Source organism: Homo sapiens, chromosome X (assembly GCF_000001405.40).
Source record: "Homo sapiens chromosome X, GRCh38.p14 Primary Assembly".
Lineage (NCBI taxonomy): Eukaryota > Metazoa > Chordata > Mammalia > Primates > Hominidae > Homo > Homo sapiens.
The window spans coordinates 33724490-33744674 of NC_000023.11; the positions used below are offsets into that span (position 1 = coordinate 33724490).

Sequence of the window (20185 nt, forward strand, 5' to 3'; positions counted from 1 at the left end):
CAATATCAAAACTGTAACATATTTATATATATACACATATGTGCGTGTGTGTATATATATATACATGTATAACAAAAATGCTGGTTTTATAAATGTACAGAAACTAAAATATTCAAAGCAAATATTAGTTTATCCTTTACTTGAGGGACTCTAAACCCTTAAAGGAAATGACCTATCAAAAATACAAAGATATATATTGAAAATTAGATAACCTGTTGGACCATCTATATATTACTCTTTGTAATGAGTGACAACACACCCCACCTGATTTAGATTCCTAACAAAAGCTGAATTTCACAGATAAAAATATAACAATTCAATTATTGCATTTTTAAAGTGACTCTCAATAGTAGAATCTAGTATGGAATGTTACATATACGTAGATTAATTTTTCTTTAGATATGAATTTAAACTACCCATTTCCAAGACACACAAATTTGCATGAATGTCGTTTTCAGAATATCTTTGTGGATCCTTTTCTTATTTCCCCCATGTTCTGGCAAGTTTAGATGTAGCATAATGATAAATAGAATTAATTTGTAGAATTAATTCCTAAATTAACACATTTTTTCCAAAACAATGATCTGCAACAGATTTATAGTAGATATCCCTCTGCATTTTTCAGATAATTATAGCTGCAAGGTTATCGTCCAATAACATGTATAAACAATAGCAATTTTAAAGCAATGTATGAAACTACCCAACATATTTTTTTCACATTATTATTTTAGGGTATCTACTTAAAGCCAGTTCTATTAACCTTGGAGCTGAATGCTAAGGGCATTCTATTTAAGAAAGTTTTCCATTCTTCACTTTAAAATCTAAGAAGCTTGTTAAATAACCTAAATAATGGAGTGAAAAAAGAAGGAAACTGTGGTTTTAAATTCGAAATAACTGATTTCTCCCCAAAACTGTCCGAAGCACCATTGTTTTGTGACTTATAGCTATCATTATCAACTCGTACTACTTGTAAAAATACCTTACTAAAGTTCTGAAGAAATTCTGCTCTGCTATCTTCTGAACACTTTGCTGGTGTGCAATTTACACAACTCCTGGTGTTTCTTACTAACTTTCGTTTTCTTTTGTGATCTTTCCTTTAACCTCACTTCAGAAATATACTTGGACAGTGACTTCATACCTCTGTCCTCTTCAGCATCCAGCAATGTACATAAAGAAATCTTGAATGGTCCTGTGATTTTAACGTCCACAATTTGCTGCGTGTCCAAAGGCGAAAGGAGCGGGCTCAGGCAGCTGAAAAACTTCATCCTTAGAGAGAGCTTAACAGCTGCTTCCATTTACAGCTTTAAAAACGTATCCTGGTTTACAAGAGTTTGCATATGTAGGCCAGACTACCAAACACCAGAAGATTTATTACAAATGAAATTTACACGTGCATGGGGGTGGGAAGCGCTGCAAAAACCTTAGACTCCTCACTTCTGCTGCTTTACTGATTTTCAACTCGTATAGTTGTACCTCGGGCATGCAAGTCTTCCTGTCTAGCGCTCTGACGTTTTCCTTCAGCACAGCTGAGGTGAAACTTCTCAGATTTCTTAACTCTGCACTTGGCCACGCCCTGACAAGGCAAGCTGTCCTTCGCCGGCCCTCCCTCCCTTCCTCAAGCTACCACAATATTTATTTTAACTCAATCTGACCAATCCTTTGTGTTTAATTTTTAAAACAGCCTACCATCCTATAACAAAATTCAATATTCAGTGGGCTTTCTTTAAAAAATAATAAATAAACCCCCCACTGATATCCACTTGGCCTAAAAGGAAAAGTTGGGTTTCTGCTTTCCCTGAGAGCAGCACTCCCTTATCCCTGGAACGCCGCGCCCTGCGTGGTTCCCCGCCCTCCCCACGCGCGGGGGCGCCCTGACAGTCCCCTGCTGCTCCTCTGCTGGGCGCCACAACTTTCCCCAACCCGTGCCAACTTCCAGGGCACAGCCTCTGCGGAGAGTAGCAGGGTACAGTGAATAACCCAGACACTAAAAAGCAAGGCAGCGGGGGTCCTACCAGCGCGGCTTTTGATGACGTCGGTGAATCCGTCCTCAGCGGCATTTTCTGGGGTCTCCTGCAGACCCCTCAGCTGTGCCATAACCAAACGCCACGTGCCTCAGCTTCCTCACGCCCCAAACTTTGGAAGGCAGGTGGGTCCGCGTGCGGTCCGTTTGATGCTCTCCACAGCAGGTCTCGCTGAGGATCTAGTGTGTCTGAGGATGGATTTTCCCTCCTCCCTAGGCCCTCAGCCACGGAGATGGGGATGCGGGGGGCGCGGGGCGGCTGGGGGGAGCTTGAAAACGCAGAAACACAGACACCTTAGCGTGGGTTGGTTGAAAGAGGGCGCCGTCAAAATGCCCACCCCATCCTTAGAGACGAAAAACAGGTGCTGTTCCCAGCTCCTGGCTCTAAAATAGAGTGGGCGAGGCCTGGAAGGTGAAAGCTGAGGAGGGACCTGGTGGTCAATACACCCACAAGCAAGTTGACGACTCGCTTTTCCACGCTGCGCAGAATCGATGCAAAAACAGGAGCAATTAGGGAGCCGCTTGCCAAAAGCAGCACATGAGGTCATGAATGATTTAGCATTGCCACTTAGAAGATGACTACACTGACAAGAAGGGTCACTGGTTTTAGCTATCTGGGTCACTTACACGTGTGTACCCCACTTTTGTATCCTGACTTGAGTGCACTGACCAGACATGGGTAATATATGCCAAGGACTATCCATTTTCTTAGGAGATTTCACCAAAGCTACCCACTCTTCTCTCAGTGCATATGTTCACTCTGACTGCCTCCTCCATTCCTTCCTCCCACCACTGAGGCTAGAATTAGATTGGACTATAAACAGCTCGTATGACTTTATTTTCTAAAAATTTCAGAAGTGACTTTCATTTGGTTAGTATCCTTACTCCCTCCCCCACCTCCCCACACACATAACTCATCCTGCATTTCTTCCTGCAGTAGCCCAATAACTTTAAATCCTATCCATCATCTACTGAAGAAAAATTAACTTTGCAAGAGGAACTTGGCAAGGGACCTAGCAATAGCTAAGGATTTTCTTTTCTTGTTTTCGTCTGCATTTTCATTCAAAGTAGATGCTTATCCTTTTCTAAAACACTGGCTCTCGACTATGACTAGACATTGGAATCATCTGTGGAGTTTTACCAAAAAACTGTTTCCTGGTTTCCACACCCAGAGATGCCGATTAATTGTTCTGGTGATTCCAATGTGCAACCAAGTTTTAAAAACATTGATAAAATGGCCTGTACACAGTCAATTTGGCGCCTTCTTTAAGACAATTTTGCCAGCGACTCTGTTCCATTCCTATTATAATACCTTTAATAAAAACCTAATATGTTTGCCGTCCTGTTTTTCATTGCCAAGTTGACCCTTTTCATGGCAGTGGATACTTTATTTTGACAAAAACTTAGTGGTTAGTCTTGACTACAGAATTTTCTTAGATTCAACCTGCGCTGACTCTCAGGATGGATTGTCAACTGGGTACCTTTCAATTAGATCTTGATCTTGAGAATTTATGCCTATTGGAAATCTTTGTTGACAGAAGACCTCTTAGGTTTCCCAAGTGCCCATTTTTTTTAGACTCGTCAGTTCTATTTTTAGCAATTTCAAGTGGGAAATATTTAGAATTATAGCACAGCTCCTATTAAAGAGAGGTATAAAAGTATGAAAATTATCCAGAATTTAAAAAAAAAAAGGGTTGTGACATAGTACATTTTATATCATCAAGCCACTACTATTAGAAGAATATGGTATTGGAACAGGAAGAGACAAAATGGAAAAACAAAGTAGTACTCAGAAATAGATCCAGCCAAAGGGAATGTACTAAATATGACATTTTAATTCATTCATTAAAAAACTGAATATATAATGATTATCTTTTCATAAAGTTAGACTTTCCTAACTTAAACTAAAAAAATTCTAGATAGATTACAGATTCAACTATACAAAAATGAAACCAAATAAGTGATGAATCTATAGCAGTTTGAGTTATGGGGCATTCTTAACCCAAACACTAATTCCAGATGACTTTAAGGAGAAAAATGGGCCTGGGGCAGTTGCTCACACCTGTAATGCCAGCACTTTGGGAGGTCAAGGCTGGCAGATCACTTGAGGCCAGGAGTTCAAGACCAGCCTGGCCAAAGTGGCAAAACCACATCTCTACTAAAAATACAAAAATTAGCCAGGCGTGTTGGCGCCAGCCTGTAATCCCAACTACTCTGGAGGCTGAGGCAGGAGAATCACTTGAACCCAGGAGGCAGAGGTTGCAGTGAGCTGAGATTGGGCCATCACGCTTCAGCCTGGGCCACTCCATCTCAAAAAAAAAAAAGAAAGAAAGAAAAATGACACTTGCTACTACATAAAAAATAAATATTTCTATAAAGCCAAAGATGTTACAATAGAGCAAAAAGACAATAAACTGAGAAAATACACTTAGAATATCTATCACAAAGACTTAATATCTCTATTTTAATACAAGTCTACAAATTGATTTGAAGACAGAAATACAATTTAAAAAATATATAATCTGAACAGAAAAACCACAAAAGAGGACAGGCAAATAACCAATACAATTATGAGGAAGTAGTCAATATTCTCATAGTCAAAAAGGCAAAATGAAATAACATTTCCTGCCCATGAGCTGGACGAGAAAACAAACAGATGGAATAACATTCAGTGCTGGAATGGGTGTGAGAAAAGAAGCTCTTAATAATCTCTACTGGTGAAGTATTGATACAATATTTTAAGAAAGTAACCTGAGAACAGCTATGGAAAAGTCCACAATCTTTTGCCCATCAATCCCTCCTTAAGAATCTATCAAAAATAAAATCACTAGTATGTAAGGATATATGTAAGATTGTTTACTGAAGCCGTGTCTAAAAGAATACATTCATTGAAATCACTCTAAATGTCTTTCAACTCAGAACTCACTGAAGCAATCTGATTATACCAAATAATGGGGTATTTAGTACCTGCTAAAAGTATGTTATGTACCTTATACAAATTATTATCGGACTAAATACAGTGCTATATTCGAAGAACAATATATCACAACAAAACTGGGTGTATTTGGGCAAGGAAACGTCATTTTTTTTCTTTTTCATTTCAGAATTTTGTTTTAATTTTTAATTTTTGTGGGTACAGAGTAGGTATATCTATTTATAGGTTATATGAGATATTTCAATACAGGCACACAATACATAATAATCACATCAGGGTAAATGTTGGATCTATCACCTCAAGCATTTATCCTTTCTTTGTGTTACAGACAATCCAATTATACTCTTTAAGTTATTTTACAGTGTACAACAAATTATTGTTTACTGTAGTCACCCTGTTTTGCAAACAAATACAGATCTTATTCATTCTATCTAACTATACTTTTGTACCTATTAACCATCCCCACTCTCCATCCCATTACCCTTCCCATCCTCTGGTAACCATCATTCTACTTTCTATCTTGATGAGTTTAATTGTTTTAATTTTTAGCTCCCACAAATAAGCAAGAACATGCAAAGTTTGTCTTGCTGTGCCTGGCTTATTTCACTTAACATAATGACCTCCGGTTCGATCCATGTTGTTGCAAATGACAGGGTATCATTCTTTTTATGGCTGGATAGTTCTCCATTTTGTATAAGCACGACATTTTCTTTATCCATTCATCTGTTGATGGACACTTACGTTGCTTCCAAATCTTGGCTATTGTGACTAGTGCTGCAATAAACAAGAGAGTGCAGTTATCTCTTTTATATACTGATTTCCTTTCTTTTGGATGTATACCTAGCAATGAGATTGCTGAATTATATAGCAGGTCTATTTTCAGTTTTCTGAGGAACTTCCAAAGTGTTCTACATAGTGGTGGTTCTAATTTACATTTCCATCAACAGTATAAGAGGGTTCCCTTTTCTCCACATTCTCACCAGCATTTGTTATCACCTGTCTTTTGGATAAAAGCCATTTTAACTGGGATGAGATGTTATCTCATTGTAACACTTGAAAACCAATTGATGTGACCCATCACATTAAAAATATGAAGGATGAAAACAAATATAAAAAAAGTATTGGAAAAAATTAATTCCCTCACATGAACACGTGCACTCTCGCGTGCACACACACACAAACACACACACACCCTTCCTGGGAAACTGGAAGTAGAAGAGATGTAACTTGATCTGATAAAAAGTATCTATAAGTAATCTACAACAATGTATTTAATTAATATACTACTTAATATAATAAGTCAGGAAAATGAAATTAAAGGTATACAGTTAGAGCGAAAAAAGCTTTTATTATTTACAGACTAAACATGCATAGAAAATTCGAAGAACCATCAGATAAAATATTAGAATTAATAAGTGGATTTAATGAGGTTTCTGGATACCATGTGAATATCCAAAAGTTAATTGTAATTTTCAAGAGTAAACAGTTAGAAAGTGGTATTTTTTTAAAATAATGCCATCAATAAATCAAAAATAAATAAATGTATAAAATATGTTTGAGATACCTAAGCAGAAACATATATTATGAATGAGAGGATTTAAAGAAAACGTATCTAAATGGAAAACTATGTCATGCTCATGGGTTGGCAGAATCAACATTATAAAGATGTAAACTCTCAAAAATTGATCTGTAGAGTCACTGAAATCCTAATCAACCCCATCAGGAGTGTGCGTGTGTGTGTGTGCGCACATTATAAAAATTTATGTGGACATGCAAAGGTCCAACATAGCCACGACAATCTTAAAAAGAACAAAGTGGGAAATTTTATACTAACAGATATTACCAATTATTATGAAACAATTGAAATTCAAACAGTGTGTTTTTGGTGTGAATACAGATAACTAGAACAATGGAACATAAGAGAGAGTCTAAAAACAGGCTCACACATATATAGTTACCTGATTTACAGCAAAGGTGACACTGAAGTTCAGTAGGGAATGAATCGTCTTTTCTATAAATTATGTGGGATCAACTGGAGATTAGATTTTAGACTTAAATGTGAAAGCTGTGAAAGAAATAATTCTAGAAGATAACATAAGAGAATAGTTTCATGACCTTGGTGGGGACATTTTTTAAACAAGATATAAAATCACCAGCTTAAAAATATTGGCATATTGGCTTCATTAAAGCAAGAAATTTTACTCATCAGAAGGCTTCACTAGGAGATCACAGAGTGGGAAATAATATGTTAATGAAATGTTATATTAAGCAAGCAAATTATACTTTAATATTTATAGTATCTCATTGAAAAAATAAAACTCTATATGAGTGTGTGTTTTGTTTAAATAAGCAACTACAGAAAACATACATATGAACACACAAAAGAGACACTATGAGATTATAAAAGTGAAGGAATAGTTTATGAGCCTCTGAGCTGCTTAAGCTTCTAAAGGCTGATAGAGTAGGTAACTAGAAATGTTGCTTATTATTTCATTCTTTAAAAACATTTTCAAAAGTTAGTTTGAAGTCTGCCTGGAAACTGTCTGGTGAAGATGATCAAGGCAATGAAAAGGAAACTATTAAAATCTTTAAAATCTTCCTTATTCCAAATCCACACTGTTGTATTGTCATATTGGCTTCATTAAAACAAGAAATTTTATTCATCAGAAGACCTCACTAAGAGACAGAGAGACTGAAAAAGGAAATCAGAGAATGGGAAATGATATTTGTGTATACGTTTAAAAAAAAAAAGCTAGTATCCAGAATATATTTTAAAAACTCATAACAATCAATAAAAATCTATTTTTAACAAAATAAGTGAAAGATTTTAAAATATGTTGCACCAAAAAGATATCAGAATGACCAATAAAAATATGAAAGAACCAGATACAGAGCACTTGCCTGTAGTCCCATCTACTCAGGAGGCTGACACAAGAGAGTCACTTGAGCCCAGGAGTTTGTGTCCAGCCAGGATAACCTAGGGGAGACTTTGTCTCTTAAAAAAAAAAATGAAAGGATGTTTAACATTGTAAAAGCATCAAGTAATTAATATTAAAACCACAAAGCAAAACAACTACATACCCATTGTAATGGCCATAATCAAAATTAAAAAAAAAAAAAACAGAACTGAAAATACTAAGTATTGTTGTAAGTGTGATGTGATTGGAAAACCCTTCCACACTGTTTATGGAAGTGAAAATTGACCCTCCTGCTTTGACAAACTATTGGTAGAATATACTAAAACAAAAATGTTGCATTCTGCATGACATATAAATTCCACCTTTAAGATAGATTAATCAAAAGATAGGAACAGTAAGGTTCAGTGCAGTGTTTGTCATAATAGCCACAATTAGAAACAACCCTTATATGCCGCAACATTAAAATTAATAAAGATACATGGCTCTATTCAAATAAATGAATGCTATACAGAAATAGAAATGAATGGACTACTGATACATGCAATACCATGCGTGGACTTCACAGACATAATTTGAGTGAAAGAAACCAAACATAGAAGGTGTGTATTATGTAATTATATTTATGCAAGGGTTAAAAGTAGAGAAAACCCAACCTATGCTAATAGAAAACCAGGTAGAACCAATTTATGGTGTTACACGATAAAAGTGGTTACCTTTAGAGGGAAGCAATGTTCGGGACCAGGTAACAAAAATGCTTGTGAGATTATTAAAATGCCTATATCTTGATCTGGGTGATCGATATACTCAATGTTAATTGTGTAAAAAGTAATGAAGCTCTGCATTTATGATTCATGTATTTTTATGTATGTATCTTTCTGTGTCATATTCCGTTTTTTAAAATAAGCATAGATTAAAGTTACATGTAAATATTTTTAGATATATTTGTGGAATGCTGTATGAAACAAGCAAATTATAGTTTGATATTTATAGTATTTCAGGGAAAAAATAAAACCCTGTATTATGTGAGTGTATATATTGTTTAAGCAACTGTATAAAAATGTGTATGAACACACAAAGGGGAAACTATGACATTATAAAAGTGAAGGAAGATTTTGTGAGCTTCTGAGCTTCTTAAGCTTCTAAAGGCTGATAGAGTAGGTAGCTAGAAAGGTTGCTCATTATTTTATTCTATTGAAAACATTTTCAAAAGTTAGTTTGAAGTCTGCCTGGAAACTGTCTGTGAAGATGATCAAGCAATAATCATCTTATAGTCTTCCATATTCCAATTCTAAACTGTTGTATTTATTTCAACAAATATAAAAATAGATTTCCTAACATTTTCTTATTCAAAAATGTTGGGGTTAGAGAGGTTAGAATACCTCTCTTTAGATGAGCCATTTACATCTAGATGACTGCTTAACTGGCTCATACAAATTTCAGATATTGTTCCCTTAGGATATTGTCCAGAGTAAAAGAATTCCATGGACTCCTGCAGAATGTTCAGTTACTCTACACCACAGAATGCATTTGCACCTAAGGAGATATGAGACATTCAAATAATATCATGTCAAAGAGTTTTTTTCAGATTACCTGCTAAAGCCATTTATTATTATTTTTTAAATTATACTTTAAGTTCTGGGATACATGTGCAGAACGTGTAGGTTTGTTACATAGGTATACATGTGCCATGGTGGTTTGCTGCACCCATCAACCTGTCGTCTACATTAGGTATTTCTCCTAATGCTATCCCTCCCCTAGCTCCCCCACCCTCTGACAGGCCCTGGTGTGTGATGTTCCCCTCCCTGTGTCCATGTGTTCTCATTGTTCAACTCCCACTTATGAGTGAGAACATGCAATGTTTGGTTTTCTCTTCCTGTGTTAGTTTGCTAAGAATAATGGTTTCCAGCTTCATCCATGTCCCTGCAAAGGACATGAATTCATCCTTTTTTATGGCTGCATAGTATTCCATGGTTTATATGTGAAGCCGTTTATTTTATGAACTGTCCAACTAGAATATGAACAATATAGTATAATTAACCAAAACTCCGCCAATTTAATTGTGAATGGATTATTATATCTTAGAAGTTCTCAAATATGGCACATATGTATTACACTAAAAATAAGCCTTCCACGAAGTTTCATGTAGTTTCCTTTAGCAGAGAATGCTGAACTCTATTATAGATGTATGTTTTATGTACTGTCATCACTTTATATAGAAATATCCATCGATTGCATGAGAGAACTTTCATGAATCAACATGGCTATTAGTTTTCTCTTAACAGAGATATTTTAGAAAACACAGTTAGAAATATGTGTATTTTAGGGATGCAGAGAAAGCATTTTTCCCTAGGAGACTGGAAATTTAGTTTATATTTTTAGATTCCTGTCATGGGTTCTGCAAATGTTTCTAAGAAACATTTTCTACACAATCAAGGATAATTTGAATCACAACATTTTCTTATTCTTCCAAATGTATATTTTTTAGGGATCTCTTTGAAATTTTTGACTACTAGAATGATCTAAATTTAAGCATGCACTTGCCTTCTGGTGTGTCCTCAGACTGGGTGAGTTCTGGGAGAAGAGGGAATGTTGCCTCAGTAATGATGATCTACTAATGCTAGAGCTAAAACCTATGTGTTAGACTTTTCTGTTAACTATCTAAAATGATCAATATCCCTTGCTTCTCAAGATCAGTTTCGTAGATTGAATCTTGTAAAGAGGTTAATTTTTCTCATCCTCACTGATCATCATGCTAAGTCCCAGAGGTAAGGAATGGTAAAGAAATTATACCTCTTGATCGGGTAGTACCGAAGTTCTGGAAGAATGTGTGGAATTGAAGATGTTCCTGTCATAATTTTTAGAAATGCAATTTGTCACATGGTAAAGAAAAAAATGATGCTCTGTATGGTTAAGAGAAGATTTGGGCAACAACCCAGTTGTATTTGGCAAAATGAATCTGTGTGTAGAAGTTGTTTATTTTTACTTTTGGCTTCTGTCTGCGATAAAAATGAATGATCAGCATTTCTTTCTAGACTTGGTCCATATCAAATTTATTTCCTATTTATATAGATCATCTTAAAGAGACCACTACTGTCTGCAATTCTAATTTTTGGATTTTTATCTTGGCCTGAAATTTTCACTCAGAAACTAGTATGCTTCCTCCTTCTGTTACTCACTAAGCTGGCCTTTGACTTGACATTATGGACTTCTGGAAACAGCTGTGCTATAACTGTATCTCAAAAATGTTTACTCCTCATCAGTTATTTAATCAGGAATGGCTATGCATTTGATAATTTTTGGCAAATACTGGGTCTCCAAACGATAATAGTTTTAGAACTGCTGATGGTAGTAGCTACTTAGTAGTTTATTCCAGACTTTTAAAAAAGAAAATGAAATTCAGAATGCTCTCTAGGTCACACAGAAAATTAGTAACAGATCCATAACTGGAAGTAGATTCTGAGACAAGAAATTGAAGGAACGTAATTTATTTGGGAGGCAATACCTGGTAATACTTTGCTGCATAACAAGCCACCTCAAAATGCAGTGGCTTAAAACAATGACAGCCTTTATTTTGTTTACAAGTTTGTAAATTTAGGCAGCATTTGACATAAACAGCTGATCTCTGCCCCAGATGGTATCATAGGGAGAGGCTCAAAGGCTGAGGACTAGAATTTTCTAAAAACGTATTCCCTCCTCACTCATGTATTTGTGGTTGATACTAGCTGCTAGTTGAGACCTTTGCTGGGTTTGTGATCAGAACATTTATACATGGCCTTTCTGCGTTACTGCTTGGCTTCTTCATAGTAAAGAGGCTGGCGTCCAAGTTGATAGTTAGAAAATAGAAAGCCAGGAAGAATCTATAACATCTTTTATGACCTAACTTTGTAAGTCATCCAACGTCACTTCAGCCACATTAAAATCAGGAAGCCCATCACCAAGGCTTCATACTTGAAGTCCCATGTCTCTGCGCTCATTTCCTACTACCCCCTTCTCTTTCTCAGTTTGCTCCAGCTATACCCATGCCTCATAAAATATTCTATCCTCAAAGATTATGTGTCTTGTCTTGCAAAAACCTAAACCATTCAGAAACAGACATAAATGATTTACCTTACTGAAATAGGGGCTAATTTTTTCCAGTATCTCATTCCAACCTGATCGCTTTATGTGTATTTGGGCATATGTGTGCAATATAAGGATATTTATTCAGCATCTGGTATATCCTAGGTGCTGGAAATACAGCGGTAAGTAGACAGTCTCGTTCTATGGAACTTCCAGTATTTTTGGGGAGGTAGGAAAACATTGCTCAAATAATCACAGAGATATAACCTTTCAGATGTGTCAAGGAAATATACATGTTGCTTTAGTGCCTATAATAGCAACAATTGGCTTCTTTGGAAGAGGGTAGAGAGGGCTTATTTGAGGAAGAGATGATTCATTTGAGATCTATAAATAAGACCTAACTCACTGAAAGATTTTTTTTGAAGTCCTGTTAGGGTCAATGGCCTACTCATGATCTTCTTGTAAATATAAAATATATATATATTTCAAACTTAATATGTTGAAAACATGGCTCAATCTCTCCTACCCATCTCCACCAGATATGGTCTTCCAAATGCTGTCTTCATCACTGTGAATAGCAGCACCAATATTCCAGTTTTGCAGGACACAAGACTTAATTATTCTTAACATCATTCTTAATATCATTCCTTAATATTCACTTTATTTTTCATACCTTACCTTCAAATATATCCAGAACCTGACTATATCTTCCTACCTCCATAGCTGCTTCCCTGATTCAAACCATCATCATCACTCTGCTGATATGTTGCATACCCTTCTATATGTTTTTCACTGGTTTGTAACCCATTAGTGAGCCATAAAATTAATTAATTTATGCCTTGTAAATAGCAGTAAAACAATGCCTTGCAATATAATAGAAAATATTGAATTGCATAATGCATAGATCAATTTTTTGTAAAACGTATTTCAGTTTTATTTATAAATATATAAACATGTAGACATATATGTCTAGATGTATATGTACACATGTGTGTGTCCATATATCCTGAATCTCAATATAAAATACTCTTACTGTGTATGAATTTAAAATTTTTGAAAGGTATTTGGATTCTTCCTGCTTCAACTTGTAGCCTCACTCGGGAGTACTCTGAAAACAGTAATCAGAGGGATTTCCTCTACAGGCAATACATTTTAATTAATTAATTAAATATATAAGGCAGATAAAGATACATCTCTATTCAAAATACTTAATGGACTCCCATTTCGTTAAAAATAAAAGCCTATTGTAAGTCATTACAATGGCCTGTGAGTCACATATTCAGCCCATACCTTCTCCCTTTCTCTCTAACCTCATCTCCTGCTAATCTCACACTTGCTCATCAAACCCAGTCAAACTGGTCTTCTCGCTGTTTGTAAAACACTCCGAGCACATACCGACTTCAGAACTTTTGCACTTACTATTTTACCTGCCTAAAGTTACTTCCCTTTATGTAAGTTCATGTCGTCCTCCCTCGCCTCTTTCACGTTTCTTACCTTCTCATTGAGTCATCCATAGCCTGCCTATTTTAAATTTCTGTCATCTATCTTCAATGCCCTACAGTCCCCATCATCCTTGCCTATTTTATATTTCTCCATAACGCTTGTAATCTCTGATGTACCATGCATTTTACTTATCTGATTATTTTCTGTTTCCCTTGACCCACATTAGACTGTGAGCTTCATATGGTAATTAGTTTTGTCTATACTGTAATCTGCACAATTCCCAATGACTAGTACACTCACTATTATGTAGAAGGTAATCAATAAGTTGTTGAATGGATGGAGGGAAGGAGAAAAGGAGGGAGGCTGGATCAATGGATGGATTAAAAAAAACAAATGAAAGAAATAGAATTTCAAGGATCGGGAATGAGACGTAAAACAGCTCTCTAAGGCTGGGTGCGGTGGCTCATGCCGGTAATCCCAGAACATTGGGAGGCTGAGGCGGGCAGATCACCTGAGGTCAGGAGTTCCAGACCAGTCTGGCCAACATGGGGAAACCCCATCTCTACTAAAAATAGAAAAACTAGTCAGGCGTGGTGGTGCACCCCTGTAATCCCAGCTACTTGGGAGACTGAGGCAGGAGAATCGCTGGAACCAGGGAGGCAGAGGTTGCAGTGAGCCAAGATTGCGCCGCTGCACTCCAGCCTGGGTGACAAGAGCAAGACTCCAGCTCAAAACAAAAACAAAAACAAAACAAACGAACAAAACACTCTCTAGCTGGAGAGTCAACAGAGGATGGAGGATGCTTTGGTCCATGGCCATGAGAAAGACTGAAAAGAGGCCAGTGTAGCTGGAGAGGAAGGAATGAAGTAAGGATTGGGATGGAGGAATATATGGCTAGAGAGGTATTCAGGAGTAAACCAAAAAGCACCAAAACACAAAACTAAGGGAATTACTCTATATCCTAAAAATACTGGGAAGCCTTTGAAGGCTTTTAAATTTGGGAAAGCGGTGGAGGGATCAAGAACAATGGGTGATGTCATTATCTTATTTACATTTTAAGTGATAGGGAAAAACGATAATTCATAAACATGGTTTAGGCCTAGTGAGAGAAACTATATCTCTCATCAGTTTAATCTGAGTTCATAACATTCTCTAGATCCTAAATGGTCCTAGTCACATTTCTGAGTCAGTTCTTTGCTTAGATGTATAATTCATTGACTCTTTTATTATTTTATTTTATTTTTATTTTTATTTTTCCATTAGTTATTGGGGTACAGGTGGTATTTGATTACATGAGTAACTTCTTTAGTGGTGATTTATGAGATTTTGATGCACCCATCACCCAAGCAGTATACACTGCATGATATTTATAGTATTTTATCCCTCGCCCCCTCCTACTCTTTCACCCATGTTCCCAAAGTCCACTGCATCATGCCTTTGCATCCCCATAGCTTAGCTCCCACATATCAGTGAGAACATATGATGTTTGGTTTTCTATTCCTGAGTTATTTCACTTAGAATAGTAGTCTCCAGTCTCATCCAGGTCACTGCAAATGCCGTTACTTCATTCTTTTTATGGCTGCGTAGTATTCCATCAGATATATAAATGCATTATATCATATATATTTAATTCAGATTACATAATATATAATGTATTATAATATATATACAATGCAGATGACATCACACACACACACATAGATATATATTAAATGCAGATATATATATCACAGTTTCTTTATCCACTCATTGATTGATGGGCAATTGGGTTGGTTCCACAATTTTGCAATTGTGAATTGTGTTGCTATAAACATGCGTGTGCAAGTATCTTTTTCGAATAATGACTTCTTTTCCTCTGGGTAGATACTCAGTAGTGGGATTGATGGATCAAATGGTAGTTCTAGTTTTAGTTCTTTAAGGAATCTCCACACTGTTTTCTATAGTGACTGTACAAGTTTACATTCAACCCAGCAGTGTAGAAGTGTTCCCTGTTCACAGCATCCACACCGACATCTACTGTTTTTTGATTTTTTGATTATGGCCATTCTTGCAGGAGTAAGGTGGTATCACATTGTGCTTTTGATTTGTATTTCCCTGATCATTAGTGATATTGAGCGTTTTTTCATCTGTTTATTTGCCATTTGTCTATCTTCTTTTGAGAACTGTCTATTCATGTCTTTAGCCTACTTTTTGATGGGATTGTTTGTTTTTTACTTACTGATTTGCTTGAGTTCGCTGTAGATTCTGGATATTCCTCCTTTTTCAGATGTATAGATTGTGAAGATCTTCTCCCACACTGTGGGTTTTCTGTTTACTCTGCTGACTGTTCCTTTTGCCATTCAAAAGCTCTTTAGTTTAGTTAAGTCCCAGCTATTTATCTTTGCCTAAGCCAATATCTAGAAGGGTTTTTTCCAATGAGTTCTTATGTGTTAAGTGAGTATCCTGAAGGCAGCAGATAGTTCCTTGGTGAGTTCTTATCCATTCTGCAGTTCTGTATCTCTTAAGTGGAGCACCTAGGCCATTTACATTCAGTGTTAGTATTTAAATGTGAGGTACCTTTGCGTTCATTGTGCTCTTTGTTGCCTGTGGACTTTGTGTTGTTTTTTTGTTTTGTTTCTTGCTTTTGCTTTTTAGCTTATATTTTTGTTTTATAGGTCCTGTGTAATTTATGCTTTAAAGAGGTTCTGTTTTCATGGTTTCCAGGATTCCTTTCAAGATTTAGAGATCCTTTTAGCAGTTCTTGTAGTGGTGGCTTGGTAATGGTGAATTCTCTCAGCACTTGTTTGTCTGAAAACGACTGTATCTTTCCTTCATATATGATACTTAGTTTCTCTGGATACAAAATTCTTGGCTGATAATTGTTTTGTTTGAGGAGGCTGAAGATAGGGCCCCAATCCCTCCTAGCTTTTAGGGTTTCTGCTGAGAAATTTGCTGTTAATCTGATAGGTTTTCCTTTATAGTTTACCTGGTGCTTCTGTCTCACAGCTCTCAAGATTCTTTCCTTTGTCTTAACTTTGGATAACCTGATGACAACGTGCCTAGATCTTTTTGTGATGAATTTCTCAGATGTTCTTTGTGCTGCTTGTATTTGGATGTCTAGGTCTCCAGCTAGGCTGGGGAATTTTCCTCAATTATTCCCCCAAATATGTTTTCCAAGCTTTTAGAATTCTCTTCTTCCTCAGGAACACTGGTTATTCTTAGGTTTGGTTGTTTAATGTAATCCCAGACTTCTTGGAGGCTTTGTTCATATTTTCTTTTTCTTTTTTCTTTGTCTTTATTGGATTGGGTTAATTCGAAGACCTTGTCTTTGAGCTCTGAATTTTTCTCTTCTACTTGTTCATTTTTATTGCTGAGACTTTCTGGAGCATTTTACATTTCTAAAAGTGTATCCAAAGTTTCCTGAATTTTTTATTGTGTTTTCTTTAAGCTATCTGTTACATTGAATATTTCTCCCTTCACTTCTTGTATCATTTTTTGGATTTCCTTGCATTGGGCTTCACCTTTCTCTGGTCCCTCCCTAATTAGCTTAATAAGTAACCTCCTGAATTCTTTTTCAGGTAAATCAGGGATTTCTTCTTGGTTTGGATCCATTGCTGGTGTACTAGTGTGATTTTTTTTGGGGGGGGGGAGGGTGTTGAAGAGTCTTGTTTTGTCATATTACCAGGTTTTCTGGTTCCTTCTCATTTGGGTAGGCTCTGTCAGAGGGAAGGTCTAAGGCCGAAGGCTGTTGTTCAGATTCTTTTGTCCAGTGGGGTGTTGCCTTGATGTAGTACTCTCCTCCTTTTCCTATGGATGTGGCTTCCTGTGAGCCAAACGGCAGTGATTGTTGTCTCTCTTCTGGTTCTAACCACCCAGCAAGTCTACCCGGCTCCAGACTGGTACTGGCGGTTGTGACACTCTGTTCGCATCAGAGTTCTGTGATGTGAACCGTCTATGGGTCTCTCAGCTGTGGATACCAGTGCCTGTTCCGGTGGAGGTGGCGAAGAGTTCGGTGGATTCCCTGAGGGTCCTTAGCTTTGGTGGTTTAATGTTCTACTCTTGTACTGGTTGGCCTCCTGCCAGGAGGTGGCGCTTTCTAGAAAGCATCAGCTGTAGTAGTGTGGAGAGGGACTGGTAGTGGGCGGGGCCCTAGAACTCCCAAGATTCTATACCTTTTGTCTTCCGCTGCCGCGTGGATAGGGAAGGACCATCAGGTTGGGGCAGGGCGAGGCGTGTCTGAGCTCAGACTTTACTTGGGCGGGTCTTGCTGCAGCTGCTGTGGAGAATGGGGGTAAGATTCCTAGGTCACTGGAATTGTGTACCTAAGATGATTATGGCTACCTCTGCTGAGTCATGCAGGTTGTCAGGGAAGTGGGGGAAAGCCAGCAGTTACAGGCCTCAGCCAGCTCCCACACAAACCGAAGGGCCTGTCTCACTTCTAACATGTCCACGGCTCCCCAACAGCCCTGAGTATGTTTACAGGTGGAGGGCGAGAGGGGCTTGAAACTTGCCTGAGGCTCTCCGCCTCCCAGCTGCCAAAGAAAGGGCTTTAGTTCCCTGCCCCCCACCCCCGCCCCTTCCGCCGCCTGTGAAGGGACCCACCGAGCTCCCAGGGCCTTTCTGCTGCTTCCTCTACCCCTGTATTTTGCTCGGCTCTGTAACTTGACTCAGCTTCAGGTAAAGTCAGAAACTTCTGCAAACAGACCTTCAACTTCTCCTGTAGGGGTATGTGTTCGGGAGAGGAGGGTCTCCCTTTCCCACTTTTGTAGCTGGGGCACTCACAGTATTTAGGGTGTTTCCCAGGTCCTGCAGTAGTCCGCTTCCTTCAGAGGGTCTGTGAGTCCTCTCAGGATTGCTGATTTGTTCTTTTAGTTGATCTGGCGCTAAAATTCACAGTGCAAGTCTCCAGATGCTGTTCTATCTGGAGCTGCAATGTAGTCCTGCCTCCCATCCGCCATAATCCCCTCCATCTCCTAATTCCTTGACATGTGAGAAACCCTTCAAATTTATGCTTCTGGAAACCCTGAGAATATAAAGATCATGGCATTATTCCAAGAAGAGATGTCGGTTTATTTAATGTACTTTATTAAGCAAGATGCAAGTCAGATGTTATGATTTTCAGTTACAAGTTTTTCCTATATCTATAATTTGAAGATTATAGTATACTGAAAGCATTAGCTTTGGGCTCAATTATAAATGTATTATCCAAAGAACTTGCTGTATTATCCAAATTTAAATATAAAATAGTCTTTCAATAACGATTGAGTTCTAAAAGTAAAAATAAAAGGAAAGAAATAATTATACTTTAGACAAAAAACCGTACTCAATTTAACACATACCAGACACACACACACACACACACACAGACACACACACACTCCACACACACAATTAGCCTGGTGGGCTATAAGTAGAGTGAATGAAAAATAAGCTACATTGTTTTATTTTTATTGTGTTAATGCAGTAATGAAGTTAAAATAAATGCGATGTCTTCTTTTGAAAGGTATCTGTTCATGTAATTTGCCCTCTTTTTAATGAGGTTGTCTTTTTCTTGTGAATTTGCTTAAGTTCCTTATAGATTCTGGATATTAGACCTTTGTCAGATGCATAATTTGCAAAAGTTTTCTCCCATTCTGTAGGTTGTCTGCTCACTCTCTTGATAGTTTCCTTTGCTATGCAGAAGCTCAGTTTAATTAGATCCCATTTGTCAATTTGTGGTTTTGTTGCAGTTGCCTTTGGTGTCTTCTTCATGAAATATTTGCCTATGCCTATGTCCTGAAAGATATTGCCTAGGTTGTCTTCCAGGCTTCTATAGTTTTGGGTTTTACATTTAAGTCTTTAATCTATCTTGAGTTAATTTTTGTATATGGTGTAAAAAGGGGTCCAGTTTCAATCTTGTGTATATGGCTAGCCAGTACCATTAATTGAAAGGGAATCCTTTCCCCATTGCTTGTTTTTGTCAGGTTTGTCGGAGATCGTATATGTGTAAGTGTGTGGCCTTATTTCTGAGTTCTCTATCCTGTTCCATTGGTCTATGTGTCTGTTTTTGTATTAGTACTATGCTGTTTTGGTTACTGTAGCCCTACAGTATAGTTTGCAGTCAGGTAGCATGATGCTCAACACCAGTGATCATTAGAGAAATGCAAATCAAAACCACAATGAGATGCCATTGTACACCAGTCAGAATGGCTATTATTAAAAGGTCAAAAAATAACAGATTCTGGCAAGGTTGTGGAGAAAAAGGAATGCTTATACACTGTTGGTGGGAGTGTAAATTAATTTAACCATTGTGGAAGACAGTGTAGCAGTTCCTCAAAGACCTAAAAATAGATATACCATTCGATCCAGCTATCCCATTATGGGATATATATACCTAAAAGATTACAAATTATTCTATTATAAAGACACATGTATGTATATGTTCATTGCAGAATTATTCACAATAACAAAGACATGAAATCAACCTAAATGCCCATCAATGTTAGACTAGAAAAAGAAAATGCGGTACATGTACAACACGGAATACCATGCAGCTGTAAAAAAGAATGAGATACTGTCCTTTGCAGGGACATGGATGAAGTTGGAGGCCATTGTCCTCACCAAACTAACACAGAAACAAAAAAAAACAAACATTGCATGTTCTCACTTATAAGTAGGAGCTAAATGATAAGAACACATGGGCACACAAAGGGCAACAACACACTCTGGGGCCTTTCTCAGGGTGGAGGGTGGGAAGAGGGAGAGGATCAGGGAAAACAACTAATGGGTACTGGGCTTAATACCAGGGTGATGAAATAATCTGTATGACAAACTCCCATGTCACAAGTTTAA

General features: G+C 37.3%; 1 long non-coding RNA gene across 1 annotated transcript in view; it reads left to right on the forward strand.

The window, feature by feature from the left end:
- Positions 1-1876: 1876 nt before the first annotated feature.
- LOC105373153 (uncharacterized) overlaps positions 1877-20185 on the forward strand; it is a 350749-nt gene continuing 332440 nt past the window's right edge. Inside the window, exon 1 of the long non-coding RNA XR_950542.4 lies at positions 1877-2146. This is a non-coding gene — a long non-coding RNA (uncharacterized LOC105373153). The remainder of the gene's footprint in view (positions 2147-20185) is intronic.